The following is a 16167-nucleotide window of genomic DNA, read 5'->3' on the forward strand; positions in this document are numbered from 1 at the left end:
AATGAAATAATTCTGGCATGGCTTAGATATCTGTCTCATAATTAATGAGTTATGCAAAGTTCTGCAGTTCAAGCTTTGTATCATCATCCTATTAAACATAACGTACATAAGAAATATTACAACAACACAAATACTATCTGCTACAATTCTGTTTAGCTGCTGTTGGTAGTACCCCGCCACCATCAAATGGAACAAAATCTTGGAGACCAAGGCTGAAATCCCACTCATCAAGTAAGCACTGCTGGATTCCTCTGCCAAATCTCAAAACTTAACAAGGAAACAAGACCCTGCCATAAGACGTCAGTGTAACGGGTAGTGGTTGCTTACTTCATAGAAGGAAAAGGATCTCTGATGCTGAATTAACCAGAGTCTTGGGCTGCATTTGGACACTCAGAGCAACTCATCTACCATTCTATTTATCAAGAAAGACAGGGCTGAGTCACATGACTGTGTAACTCAATGAGAGAACAAATGTGCTCTGCCTCAACACAGTTTTAGCTATTGTAATTAGGATATTTCTACAGAAAGTCTTTTTTGCCCAATTCAGAGGGTTTTGTGGTTAAAATAGGACAAAAAAATCCTGCCACCTGGGAAGTCCTACTGAATAACTCACATTTACATTTTGGTGGTGGCACACCTGGTTGTCTTTTTAGTCTTTCTTTCAGTGAGTGAAAGAAATTAAATATAAACTGACTTATACATCACTGGTACATTCAAAGTAACTAATAATTTACTTTTCCAAAGAATTTAGAATTCCAAATTGCTGAGTTTTCATTTTCTAAGAATTCCTTTTCTGATTTGCTGTTTCATACACAAACAATTCATATATCTTTTACTGAATGTAAATGAGGCTTGTGAATACTCTGAATTAAGAGAATGAGGGATTTCTGCTCATATGAAGTAAACAAACCTGTAAACCATTTCAAAAAAATAATGAGGACATAGAAATAAAAACTACAGGAAAATTTCTACCATCTGTTCTCTTATCTACAGCATAAAAAATTGAAATTTACCATGTTCAATATTTCCCCTTGTCAAGGGGGTTGAGGAGTAGGTATATGAGGAAAATGAGAAACTTACCTAGGCTAGAATTGCCTTTTGCTATATTAATAGTCCTTTCAAAAGATTCTTTAGATACATTTTGAAGCATGACACACTCAGCATTACAGGCCAGGGAGCTCTGTTCAAGCAGGTACTCAGAGCCCTTTAAGAAAGAAAAAGAAGTCACAAGTCACATGGAAAGGGAAACTAGACTTTGGAGCGTGATTTCAACATCACGCATGTTCTCTAATTGATTGTGCTTTATTTTGCAAGAACCTGCAACCAAAACAAGTTCATAGGTTGCCTTCTGAAAATCTTAGTGTCAAGAAGCACTCATTCCAAATGAAGAGATTAGCCAGAATAACCTTACTTCACTATTCCCTATCTCATCATAAAACACAAACCATATCTTTAAAATATTACCTTTCCAGCTGAATCGGGTAGCACAGAAGGAAGTTCTGCACTTGATATAACTTCACTTGGTAAATGAGATTCAGTCCACACTATTGTGTTTTCACATTCATATTGTTGTTCAATAGCATTTGCAGGTGTGTAGTCATTTATAGTAAAGCCAGAAGCAGGCCCCATACTTATGTCCACCGAAGGTGTATTCTCATCCTGTCTTTGCAGGAGATTCTGGGTATATAGTTCCTCCAGAGACATATGCAGATCAAGTACTGGATCACAAGAATTTTCAATAACATCCTGGTAGTTAAAAAACAACAACAACAAAACATGAAAAATGTGACCAGAATTACATCAATATATAACATCACTTCTTAATGAACAACTATTTAGTGAAATGTAAAACATAACAATTATTTATTACTCAAAAAGCATTAACAAACACAATTCCTCACTTAGCAGATTTTCTGCATATCTTTATTTTCATAAATGCTTTTAAATACATTTCCTGAAAGTCATACATCTCACGTTCTACTGAGTTATACTTGTACAAGATACTGTACGTAAGATCATTTAGAAATACTATGTTCTATTTACAAATAAAATTATTCAGAGTTCAAATTACATAGAAGAGCAAGTAGCATACTTCCAAATCTCACTTAAAGTGTAGTTTGTTTCCCATCAGTCTGAAGTTCCCATTTATTATGAGCTCAAGGACATAAAAAGTATGACATTAATTGATTTGGACTCATAAGGGCCTCCAAGAGAAAATTATTTTGATAGGCATTTATAAGTATTTATGGAGAAGAATAGAAAGTTTTACAATTCAAATTATCGTAGGAAAAATTTGCATAAATATTCTGTACGATATAACAGAAGGAATAGTAAGACGGGTTGTCATAAAATGTATGCTCTAAATCCAGGCTCTGTTATTAACAATTTGTATATCACAGAACCTCTCTTTATATAATTTCTACAATCCTCTGAAACTCTAAAATTGTAGAGTTCTATATAAATATGTATATCTACTTACAACAGATATATTGTATCACTTGAGTGCTTTGGGAAAGCAGTTGCTTCATAAACTGCTGTTGAATAAACATATCAGTTTTCCCTTCAATTCTTTCATTGATAGTTTCAATGTATAAAAGTAGCATATGAACATACTATTGCATAAAGGATTCAAGATACAGACATATACTGTGTATGCATATAGAATACAATATGAAGAGTTTTCGCTATGGCTTCTACTTCCATTCGCTTCCCCAGTAAAAATGGCTAGCATCAGTTAGGTGTTTATCCATCAAATTTTTAATGCATTTGCATAATATATACATATAAGTACACATGCACACACTCACACATACAAGCAGATATACATATATATTTTTAAAAACTAAACACAGCCATACAATAAATAGCACTTTTACTTTTTTTGCAGTATCTTTTCATCTTGATGTGAGAAATTTCCATGTCAGTTTAAAAACAAGTCAACTTCAATTTTCTTATGGCTGTAAGTTATTCCTAAGTATGAAAGACAGTGGTGTGTAGACTGTGAACCAGGATGCCTGAGTTCAAATCCTGGCTCAACACTAATTAAATGTTAGAGCTTGGACAAGTTACTTAAACACTATGCCTAATTGGGGAAATTAATAGAAACTAATACAGGACTTTTGGGAGGACAGAGAGTATTCATATCCACAAAGTACTAAAAACAGGCCTGACTTAATAGAAAATGCCCAATAATTGTTAGCTACTGCTGTTATTTATATTCTACATCTTTGTCCACATGTGTGAAGATATATTCACTATGAACCACTAGAATTTCAATGGTTGGTCAAATGATATGCACACTTAAAATGCTGGTACATATTTTTAGTAGAGACGGGGTCTCATCGTGATGGTCTTCATCTCCTGACCTCGTGATTCGCCTGCCTCGGCCTCTCAAAGTGTTGGGATTACAGGCGTGAGCCACTAAAAATACAAAAAAAATTAGCCGGGCGTGGTGGCTGGTGCCTGAAGTCCCAGCTACTCAGGAGGCTGAGGCAGGAGAATGGCGTGAATCCAGGAGGCAGAGCTTGCAGTTAGCCCAGATTGTGCCACTGCACTCCAGCCTGGGTAACAGAGCGAGACTGCATCTCAAAAAAAAAAAAAAAAAAATTTGGTACATACTGCTAACTTGTGTTCCAATTTTCTCTTACAGAAGGAAAATATGGGAATACCTGTTAATGAATCTTGCCAGTCCTAGATTAGTTTGGCAATCTGATTTGTAAGAAATATTAGTGTATTACTATGTGTGTTCCTGACAATTATCAAGGATAAGCCATTTGTATTTCTTCTGTTAACACTCTCTTCATATTCTTTATCCGATTTTTCTCTGAGTTCAAATTACATATAGAGGCAAATAACTCATAATTTCAAATTTCACTTAAAATGCAATTCAGTTCTAATCACTTTAAAGTTCCTATTTATGAAGAGATCAAGAGCATAAAGCATATGACGTTAATTGATCTGGATTCACAGGAGCCTCCAAGAGAAAACTATCTTAATAGGCATTTACAGGTATTTATGGTGACGAATAGACATTCTTCTTGTCATTGGCACAGTCTGAATATAAAGTCTTTGTGATATACACTGCAAATATTCTCCCAGTCTGTCACTTGTCTTTTAGTTTGTACAGGTAATATTTTGTCGTGCAGAAGTTAAATTATTTCTGCAACCAAATTTGTCATTCTCTTGTGCTTTTGCGTTTTATATATTACTTAATAAGTCCTTCCACACAAAGTAAATGAAATGCTTTCTAGTATTTTTCCTCTTTTATAAATGCTTTCTTTTAGATTTTAACCATCTTGATTTATTTCAGGGTATGGTGTGAGATATGGGTCTGTCACTTTTTTCTAAACGGGTAATTAATTGCTCCAACACAATTTATTACACTCCTTTCCTTGAATGTGACTTATTATCTCTCTAGAATTATCAGATATTCCTAGTACAAAGAATTGAGGCAAGTGGAAATATCATATAAGCAATTAACATCTGTAGTATCTTCAGAAACAAATGACAGGAAGGTATCATCCTCCACAAGCCCAGGATCTAAACAATAACCTGTTGGCTCCCTCACCCAACTTTGATAATTTTATTCTTAGGAAAAATAATAATGTACTTACTACAGAACTGGTTAGCTTCCATATTGCTAAATTGATTATAATAATTAGTAAATCATCTCCCCCATGCCTCAAAGATAACAATCAAAATTGCTTTTCATTAGCAAAAGAGGTCAAGTCGCCCTTGTTAGCTGGGGTGTACTGTAAATGGTATAACAGTCCCATGCATTATTCATGAAGGAGTTAACACAGACACACAGAAAAGAAAGAGCTAATCAACACAGTAGACAACATACGCCCACTTCAGAAACGTTTCTGGTTGCTCAACAACCAACTCAGTTTTATTTTTAAAAGTCTTGTGGATCTAAAAGAAAAACAGTTCTTCCCTCATAAGATGTACAAAAATAACCACAATTTCCCAGTGCAACTTGATATCTAAAGTGAAGTCTTTCAAAAGTCTATATTAATATGTGACTTCACTTGATATATTCTTGTCCTCAGTAAAAAATTAAAAAAGGTTAAATTAAAATGTCAAATATACTTTTTAAAAGTTCTATTTCTTAAGCGCAATGCATAAATTAAGGTTAGAGTTGGGCATATTATTTACCCAGATAATATATTTACAAAAACTAACTAAATACACGAGCATTTAATAGCCATAACCTGCTTTTCTTCAATAAGCAGTCTACCAGAGGATCCTTATTATACATTTAAAAAATAGATTGCAACCAAAGCTGCTCCAACTGTCCTTCTCCCACTCTTTCTGAGATAAGGTACACTTCCTTTATTGTTTTGACACTGATCCTACTAAGGAAAAAGGCAACATCTTTTATACCTTGGAGAGCCTGCAATTTTGTCACTAAGACTCTCACAGTCACTCATCATTTTGATTAGAGTGATTTAGTTTTTTATTCTAACCCCATCTGCAAAAAAAAATAAGAAATAGTATCAACATTCTAAACATGGATGTGAAGGCAATAATATTTTATGCTAGACAATGACACTAAGTAATAATTTGTAAGAATGTTCAGACTACTAAAAAATATCATTAAATCCGTTAGTTGAGTTGACGTACAAGGTGCAAAAGGGTTCCTATCTTGATAAACATCAAGTTCAACCTGCATTAGAATAAAAAGTAATTCCTGGCAGAACTGATATTCAAGAACGAAGGATAGACACCACATTGGTAACAATATCATCACCGGACAGAGTAAGAGTATGAGTGTACACGGGAGGGCAGGGTGTAGAGGTGTGAATAAGGAGTAGAAGGGGAAACTTGAATAGATATTAAATCTTTATCCATTGTATTTTTAAATCAAAATAGGAAAAAAAAATGTTCTAAAAACCATGTTAAAATTTTAAACAAAAGTCTGCCAATTTAAAAACCAATTATTTCTGCATTTTGTCATATCTTTGGAGGTAACAAGGGAAAAGGAGTAAAATGATTAACCAAAGAAATCAAACATAAAATAATAAGAAAGGAAAAACACGGCTAGAGCCATGTTGCTCTTAAAATCCATATTTCAATGACCTGCCTCTATTAAGCCAAATGCCATAGAGGCGGGTATATTTTTCAGGTTCTTGAGTAATTGTTATTTCCCGTAAATCTTTACATGGTAACTAATCAAATTAAGCAAATACATACTCTTAAAAAAGTAAAGCAGAATGGACCCCCAAATTAGATAATTTTGTGAGGAAGAGCCCCAACATATGGCTACAGCCCTTTGGTGTTTAGGCTGCCCTGAAGAGCGAGGCCTCCCTCTATGAAGAGTCTGTGCTGTAGGTGATTAGCACTGATCACTTCTGGTAGTATACCTGACGAAGGCCAAAAGACCATTCATCAAGGGGAAGAGACAGGTAAAATTATTTGTTCATACCCTGTTGCCATTTAAGGCTACAAGATAATCACATAGTTAGCAAAGTCAAAAATCTAAGGAATTGCTGAGATCCTCACATTCTATTTTAATCCTTCTTTCAAATCAAGATAGAGGCATCTTTGTTTTTCTTAAAAATCATATACTATACGGTATTACTTTATAAATTAAAAAGCCTTTAAGTACGCTCACTTTTAAGAAAAATTGTCAATTGTAAATTCCATAACAAATCACCATTGTGTCTTTTTAATATAAATTTGTTGCAAAGAAACAGGAAGGACACATTATATATTTATTTTATTTACATAAAAAATTTTAGCAAAAGTCTAGGTATTAGAAAGTTGTCACCAAAAATATAAAATGTTGCAGAGATTTTACCACGATGCAGGAACAGTCCTACTTTTTAAGAAAACTAAAAGCACACAGGAGTTTCACAATGTGTTTTAAAACACCCTCATTAATGTCTTCTTTGTTGTTTTGTAGTTTAAGTATTTCAGTTGATAAACGAGCTTGCCAAAATTTGCTTCAACAAAAGAGTAAACTGCTTGGGGAAAACAAAATAAATAAATACAAAAGGAGGCAAACAGACTTCGGTAAGCCAATATGTTGTGCTGCATACAGCCAGCATTTGCCCTGTAAAATATATGCTTCTCAGTATGCAGATTGTGTAATCCCTTTAAGTAACAATTACTAAGTTAAACAATGCAATCTGTCCACTGGGAAGAAGACGTGTGCTATGCTGTGGATTAGGAGATTCCATCAGGAGATGAACTCAGCTTCCAGCCCTGAGGCCAGTAAAGACTGAACACATTCCAGAACACATTCCAGACAGGACACAGCCAGACAGACAGTCTCAGGTGTGGTGAGAGAGGAGCAGCTGCTCCACTCAAGATTATACCTTGCAAACCATTTCAAGGAGACTGCCCAGCATCATTTGCAAGGATAACAGGTGCACCTTGAACATAAAAGAAAATGCTTTGAAAATGTTCTGGCCAAAAAACCTGTTAATCAGGAAAGGAGGAAAACAGTGCTAGACCTACGGAAATTCTACTTTCCAACTTATTCATAAATACCCCTTCCCATTGAATTCAATTTATGCAGAAAATACATATTTCGTATATTAAAAAAAATTGTCCAGTCTTTTCAACTTAATTTTAAATGTATGTTTATGGTATATTTCCAATATAGAAAAATAAAGAAAATATATTCATATATGAACTCTTTGCCATGATTTAATAGATATAAACATTCTGCCATATTTTCATCAATCTCTCTTTCCTCATAATATGTTATAATGTATTAGACACATAGCTAAATTCCCATACTTCCTTTTTTCTCCAAGGATAACTTCTTTTTTGAAGTTGAGAAGTATCCTGCCAACACATTTTTAGATTTTACTACACACATGTACATAGATATTCATTAAAAATATATGTTGAATTGCTTTGCATATCAATTTCCAAAAAACAACTGCAAAGAATCAAAAGAAAAATGAGCAACCCAATACAAAATGGCCAAAAGATATGAAGAGATCTTTGATGAAAAGTGAAAAACAAATGGCCAATATTATGAAAAAAACATTCATTCTCATTAGTAATCAGGAAATCCAAATTAAAATAGTAAGATACCATTTCACACCCAAAACATTGGATACATTTTAAAGTATTACTTATTGAACATTATAGAGTATGTCACCAAGAAAATGAATAGAGTTGGGGCATTTATGCCAATAATCTATTTCTAAAATATAAATGGCACAGATATGTCAAATAGTGACTAAATTCTTCGTTCACATCCAGTGACATAAACATAATTTACCATTCACTGTGATTTTTTATGTAAAGTATTCTTTGGCATCATTTTGTATAAAAACATATGACAGCATTAAGTTTAACTTAGCTAGTAAATGTTAAATTAATGCAAGAAATATTTTACTATCCAACTTTGCATAGAAGTCAGTTTTAAAACCATTAAGAAAATAAAGTTATTCTTGTAATTTTTCCAAAGTATACACTGCTAAAAACACAACTTGAGAAATATATGATGCTAAATTTTTCTTTCTGACATGCAAACCCTAATCAAAGCTTTGAGCCTCTGTATCTATCATTCTCAGACACTAAATTTAAATAGTTTCTAGTAATCTGAAAGCTATCCAACCAACATTAGCTAAATGAAATTGTACTTTAATCCAATAATGAATCCACAACTGGAGAAACATAATGTCTCCAATATGTTATTCCCACAACTCCCCATAAGGACTGAGCTCTGGAAAATTACACACAAGACTTTCCTATAAAAGAAAAATTGGCTTTTCCTTTGTACCTTAGGAGGAGATGATGGAAGGGAAGAACCATAGTTCAGGCCATCACCACAAGAACTGCCATGAAGAGATAAAATAGAGGCTTGAGTAGAGTAGATGCTGTCATTTTCAGGAGAGTATGGAGACTCAAATGTGGATTCATCTACTAAGTCAGCATCATTTGTGCCCACCTAGAAACAAAACAATAATATCAGTTGGGAATTCTGTTCTATTACATATATGACAAACAATCTCCACTTGAGACTAAAAGGCAAACTGGTATCATTCTTTTATCTATTGTATTTTCTATATGCCCTCTTAACCCTCATCAGACACTGCTAATGCAGCAGAACAAGGATAAATAGCCCACCTACAGCAGAAAGTGCTGGCATACAAGGTTATTTTATTTCATCAATAAAAGGGCTAAAGGCAACAATTAACAAAGGGCCTGGATGAAGTCTATGTTTAAACAGTTCCATAGTTAAGAAAAATATTTACTTTCTTACAGTTCCCATGCCCAACTCTTACAATTTTATAATAAAATTGTGTCATAATTTTTCCTAGTCAACTAAAATAAACTGTTATTCAATGAGGCAGCTAGGCAATTATATATTTGTAAGCCACACTAAAACTATATATTTTGTTTAAATTATCTTGAACTAGATTTTAAAACCATTCAAGTTGCAGAAACCAAAAAGAAAATCTGTGATTTCATGCTAAAATTATACTAACAAACAAGGGGCCTAATTATGATCTGGTTATGGTGAAGCTTTAAGTTATAAACTTGTAAGAAAACTCATAAAGAGTGAGATAGAGAATTTCACTACATATTCTCTAATAATCCTATTGCTGTCTTCTGTCACAGAATCAAGATTAATATTTAAATTATGATGAGCTTGAAGTTCTTTTTGCAATTCACTCAAAGTCATACCTGAGAATAGGCAGAACTGACATATATACTACCTTTCTCTGATACTACCAGCATTTTCTGTCTATCTTGGCAAAATTCCATATGTTCTAATTTTTTTTTTGTAATTTCAACTTACTGCTTACCCAGGAGAAGTTAGAAGAATTATAACATTATATCAGGTCACATTCTTACAAAAAACTATTAAAAATACCTGTGGGCCATTTTGAAGTGATTTTCTCTTCAAATATACTTCATAGGCCTAATAATATATTTTAAATACATGTTCAAATTCACTAGTGAGTCACTATGTGGAGGTTTACCCTTACAAATATACATAACATACAACAATCTAGATAGACACTATTAACTAAGCCTTGTGTCATAGATTACAATACATATTTAAGTAACATTAATGAAAGAATACCTCAATATAATTTGTATGTATATTGCTGATATCTTAGGATCTTAGGAGAGATATTAACAATCAATTCATTTATTTACTGTAGAGATAAAACACTAAGACTCAAAGAAATTGAGTGACCAGTCCAAGATTACTTAGCTGGCTAAGGAGAAGACCCAGGACGCATATTACTATTATAAGATGCCAAGCTCACATAAAAGTGGAACTAATCTTCCTTTTGATTGGTATCCATTAAGGAGGTTCAAGGAAGCCATGTAAAGGCTAGAGAGAATGCTATTTCGTCGGGTACTTTAGAAATAATCATATATAGTATTTGTATCCTGTGACATTTCAAAAAGTATTTGCTATGGCTGGGTACTATTTACACCACAGTACTGTATGTAATTCGTTGTATATACTAAGCTATCTAGTTTTGAAGTGCTAACATAATACCCATGGAGAGCAGGGCCATAAGTTACCTGGTATGTTAAGTATTACAGTGTGAAATTATTGCATTTATTATAACATATACCAAAACTTTTCAAATGGCTATTTCAAGAGCTTGCAATTTAAAAATATTAGCAAAAGGAATTGTCTCCCCCGAAATTACAATCAGCAAAATGTATATATAGTCAAAGAAATAATTCACTCTGTTTTAAAGCAAGATGTGCGCAGTTATAAACACATAATGAAGAATTTAACAGGTTTTAAACCTTTCTCCAGTCTAATGAAACTCAAACAAGTATTTAAAAAGCAAGTATATTCCTTTTTAGCAACAGTGCACAATGTTTGCCCCACAAAAAACGTTGAGTAAGGAACCTAGCTCTAATAGTAGGGGTAATGTGAACAGGATGTACAATTTGTTGTATTTATGTTGAGTAAATGTCACATGTATATTCATGCCTGGTATTTAGTTTTATCCTTTAGTTATTGATATAGCATTGTACCCTCTACAAGAAAAAGTTTCTTAAGGGCAGAGTGCCTGCAAATACTTTTATTCCAATGGATACTATTTTAAACATCAAACAGAAATAAAATTTTAATTTATAATTTTTCTGGTAAATCAGTATACTTACATATATGTATTTATAGAAAACATGGGGTTTACCTTTCCATAAAACTGGTGTTCTTAATAACTGAACCAATTTATATGATTCTCACACTATTAATATCTAATGGAAAAAAGATACCTATTACCTCATTAAATACAGCCAAAACAGTGATTTATGACTGAATATTGAGCACAGTTAAAGAATGCCTAGAGATATCTAAGCGTGAAATTGGAGCAAACAAATGCTCCACAAACTTTAGATATGGCACAAAGATTAATTCTACATACTGCTACAATGCAACGTTAATTAAGTTTTCCTCACAAATGTTTTTCATATTTATTATGGTTTTTCTTCCCATTTTCAATTGTGAGAACTAAGTTGGAGAAAACATGTTTATCTTTCCAAATATAATAATGAACAAAGAATATAATAGACTTCTTCAGAATATTTTGAAAGGCAAAGTAAGACATATCAGGTTTCTGAAAGAAAGCTTGATAAGTCATAGCCACTAACCAGAGCCAAGTCAGCCCTGAAGAGGGGTTTGTCAGCCAGCCCTGCTTCCTCACAGGAGTGTGGTGGGTAGAGAAAGGAATCCTCCTTAGCAGAAACATAACCTTCTTCTGGTGAAAGCTGCAGGGAAAAAATGGTATTCATGGAAAAGAGAGAGAACAGCAAAGAAGAAAGAAAATGGAAAAGAAGAGTAAAGGTAGGAAAAGTGAGGGGGGCGAGAAGAGAAAGAAATTGGAAAGTTTTCAAACGATATGACTTCAACATAGAATGGTAAGTATGCAATCTGATATTCATATTTGACATTCATTTGATAAGACACAATGAGGATTATTTACTCTAATATAAAAATCACCTGTTGGATGAGAATCCCTTTCTACTAATTTTTCATTCTTCTTATAAGAATTTTTTTAAATGAATTTTTTTTTTAATATTCTAATAATCTTCCGGTTATTTTTATCTGCAAAATATTCTGGTCAAACAATGACTTCCTAATATAGAAATGAAGCAACTTTTAGGTATTAATAAAAGAAGTTGCAGAAAAACAAAATATTAAAAAGAAATATCAACTTCTGTCATCCCTTACAAGAATATTATTTTAAAGAATCCAATTTACTTGAAAAGGAATGTTAGTGAACTCTACGGGAATTCAATTTAGCATGGCTTATAAAACAAAACGAAACAAAAACCAAATCTCTACATATCCACAGTCTGCTTAACTTGCAGGTTAGAGATATCGTATCACAAACTTGGTCACGCTGACAGAAAAGCTAACATATTTATTCCACTCTCAGACGAAATGGGCTAAAATATTTAGATAATCAGCCTGCCTACATCACCTGGCATCAGCAAAACATACAGAAGAAGAATTATAGGGGAAAAGAAACTGTTTTTCTTCTTTGCCCATATATGTGAGTTTAGTATTTATTAAGCCTCACTTTGGGAAGTAGAGGTATTTATCATATGCTGCAAGGCATACTGAATTTAAAATATCAAATACCGTCATAAAAGAAATTTATTTTGGAACTATACAGAAAAAAAAAAGACTGCTTCTGAATAACTGGTATGGTTTCATCTTAAGGACAGTAAAACTAAAAGGTATATTGAGTCATGTTTGCCATTTCTCTCTGTCCAACAGAAAGACCAGAACCAAATGCATAATCCAATCTTAATAAATAGGTAGAGTCCCTGATAGCCTATCTTTATTCTTACATTCCCATCCATAGTGCTCTTTTGTCATAATTTTTACAAGCCTGGTTCGATTTCAGATTGGATTAACATATTCTTCAATCATCCTGCCCTCCTCCTTCTCTTTCTTTTTTCATAAATATATTTTAATAGGCTACTGAAATTCTCTGTGGACTAAAAAGTGGTGCACAAAACTTTGGCACTTAAAATACATTAACAAAGCTTACTGTTTTAACAAATTCTTTCACAAAAATCAACAAACCCATATTGCTACTTACGAAATTATATTTATGTGTTTGCATTTTCTTAAGACTTCAAACTATATTCACGTACTGGAAAAAACCCACAAATATTGAGAACATCTCTAATATTTAACTGCAATACAATGATAAGTGCCATGTTGCAATCACTACATTTAATATAACATACTGCTTTATGTAGCACGGATTCATAAAGTTGTTTCTATTATTACAGTAATTTATGATTTGGGAGCTATTCCCTGCCAGGAGAGCCACAAACTGATGAACCCATTTTGGAAAGTTTAATTTCCTGCTCTGCAGTAACTAGACAGCAAATGTGTTGAAGTCAACTGAATTTAGCAACTTGAAGCCACTCTGACAGAGATTCTACTTTATCCCACTGTGATTAAAGATTTTATTGTTAGTTAATGCTATTAATTTTTTTAACACCCCATTACATTGGTATAGATATTGTAAGCCATATTCATTTGAAAATATTTGATTTTGCATTAATCATGACCTTATTATCAAATATAAAATGTTAAGGCTGGGCGTGGTGGCTCACACCTGTATTCCTAGCACTTTGGGAGGCTGAGGTAGGGGGATCACTTGAGGTAAGGAGTTCGAGACCAGCCTGGCCAACATGGTGAAACTCCGTCTCCACTAAAAATACAAAAATTAGCCAGGCATGGTCGTGGCTGTAGTCCCAGCAACTCAGGAGGTCTTAGGAGGCAGGAGAATCGCTTGAATCTAGGAGGTGGAGACTGCAATGAACCGAGATTTCGCCACTGCACTCCAGCCTGAGCAACAGAGCAAGGCTCCATCAATCAATCAATCAATCAATCAATGTCAAAAGTGAACCAAAGACCAGTAAGTTAGAAGTTTATTTATAAACTTCCTGGCTATTTTCTTTCCTTTATTTTTTTTGAATATTACTCAAAACTAAATCTTTATACGAATGGAGCTAGTAATCACGTTGATGAAAACTACTAAAAGTCACGATTCAATCATGAGAACACCTAAAGCGAAAAGTAGACCTATGAACCATTTTGCTTATAAATATAAAGGGAAGCAATAAAGTCTGAATTCTTACGGGTAAAGGCTTAGCAACTCCTATTCTCACAGTCCCTGACGGTGCTCCCTTCAGTGCTTCTACAGCTTCCTCAAGACTGCTGTTTTCCAAGTTAACATCGTTTACAAACATGAGTCGGTCACCAGGAAGAAGTCGTCCATCCTTTTCAGCAATGCCGCCAGGCACCAAAGAACGAATTATAATCACAGTGCTTGCTGGATCAATTGGATCCTGACAGAAGGCAAAAGGAAAGAGTCAGCTCATTTTACAAAGAAAATTCTTCTACAGGTCGTCCACTCTAAATCGTAACGAATGAGTAATTGTCTCAAGTGCCTTTAAAAATTTTCATGCCAAAAAAAATCCATACAAAATTTCTAATTATTTAGACAAAAGCTATCTCCATTTTAGAGGGTTTAGGAAGAAGTCACCTTAAACAATGGCACCCTCACTTCCTAATGTTCCTGAGTAGACCTCTTAAATTGTACAGATAACTTTAAAATTATAATTTTAACTTTGATAAGTTATCAAATTTTATAACTATTATTGGAGGCCAGATGTTGGGTATATTAATTATTAACAAAAGCATTGTTAAATAGGGTGTTACTGTATGGAACATCAACTCACTACTAGATATAAGTGCACTGAAGGTAGGACCCATCCTTTTGAAATGAAAGAATAGAGAGCAAGGCCATAAAGTATGTGGTAGTGAAGTGTTTTCAGACACACAGCAACCTTAATGTTTTAACAAGGCTCCAGAGTCAGGCCCTATGAACACAACTTCCTGGAGTCATCCAAGGTGGCTTTCTGATTTAGTGTAAGTAAGGAACAACAGCTGCACTCTATCAGACAGGCTTTACCATCTCCTCCCTTAGCAAAGAATGCAATGCAAGCAGGGACAAAGGCCAACTTGACCAATTTAAGTATATTCATAAATTTAGTCAAATGATTGGAACAGCAGAAATATTAATTGGAATATCAGATTATAAATTAGCATTCATGTTATAGACAAAAGAAATACCTACTTCTTTATGACTTACCACTAAAATATGAGTCATCAAATAAGCCCATGGAAATACAAATAGCATAAGCACTTCCCAAATAACGAAAAAACACCCACTATGATATTCCTAAAATGTATCTTCCAATTCCAAGAGATGAAATAAAAATAGCTCAATGAACTCAATGTTAAAAGAAATCCTTTATGATAATCAGTGAATCCTATAAATCACTATTTTGAAAGACTGACTAGAAAAAAGAAAACATCTTTGATGGTTATAAACTATCATCATCTGCTTTTTCTTTGATAGCAACAATAGGCCTTTAAAAATTGTTAAAAGTAGTATATACTTACCTGATAATCTAAAATGCTAAAACCAAGTCCTTTGCTCCCTTTCTCCAGCTCTATGTGCTGAATGCCAGCCTCCCACATGGCCAAAGGTGCTTGAACCTCTTCTGTACTCTGACCCGCATCAGTCATCGCCAGCACTGGATCCTCTGTCTCTGATGACCCGATGAACTCACCTAGATCTACGTGAGGCTGGATAATATCAGACAGCTCTTATTTCAGAGGCATTGCATTAGCTGACACACATACCAACACTACAAGAAAAGGGATATTCCCAGCATCTGTCCAAACAAAACATCCTCAAACAAGAGTAGCAACAGCTTTTCATGAAACCTTTAGGAATTAAGGTAGTAATTACTGAAAGTTGTTAAGAAGGAAGAAATACCTAAGTTTTAACAAACATTAAAAATATATGATTCAAAGGTCTATGAAAATATGCAATGGTTATATCTCGACAGCAGGATTGTGCGTGACTGTCACTTTTTTCATCAGTGTTTCAATCATCTCTAGTCAGAAAAAAATGTAAAGCTATTTTGATATTAAATAAAAGGAATTCTTATGATAAATAAAAACAAGAGAAAATGGATATATGCAAAAGTTCTATACTCTATACAAATAAGAGTTCTAAAATGCTGTGACTTGTGCATATGGTTATTTCATTAACAAATTAACATACACAGTGGCAAAACATAAGATTTGAAATCAGATTTGCCCCCAGCTTGAAGCAGCTT

General features: G+C 33.7%; 1 protein-coding gene across 57 annotated transcripts in view; it reads right to left on the minus strand.

The window, feature by feature from the left end:
- Positions 1-16167, minus strand: part of MPDZ (multiple PDZ domain crumbs cell polarity complex component) — a 173986-nt gene that overhangs the window by 68965 nt on the left and 88854 nt on the right. For all 57 annotated transcript variants that reach the window (NM_001375425.1, NM_001375420.1, NM_001375419.1 and 54 more), the window contains 6 exons: positions 15443-15628; positions 14113-14322; positions 11599-11715; positions 8747-8914; positions 1465-1746; positions 1081-1204 (listed from right to left, as the gene is read on the minus strand). In NM_001375425.1, coding sequence (NP_001362354.1) covers positions 1081-1204; positions 1465-1746; positions 8747-8914; positions 11599-11715; positions 14113-14322; positions 15443-15628 — 1087 coding nt within the window. The remainder of the gene's footprint in view (positions 1-1080; positions 1205-1464; positions 1747-8746; positions 8915-11598; positions 11716-14112; positions 14323-15442; positions 15629-16167) is intronic.

Source organism: Homo sapiens, chromosome 9 (genome assembly GCF_000001405.40).
Source record: "Homo sapiens chromosome 9, GRCh38.p14 Primary Assembly".
Classification (NCBI taxonomy): Eukaryota; Metazoa; Chordata; class Mammalia; order Primates; family Hominidae; genus Homo; species Homo sapiens.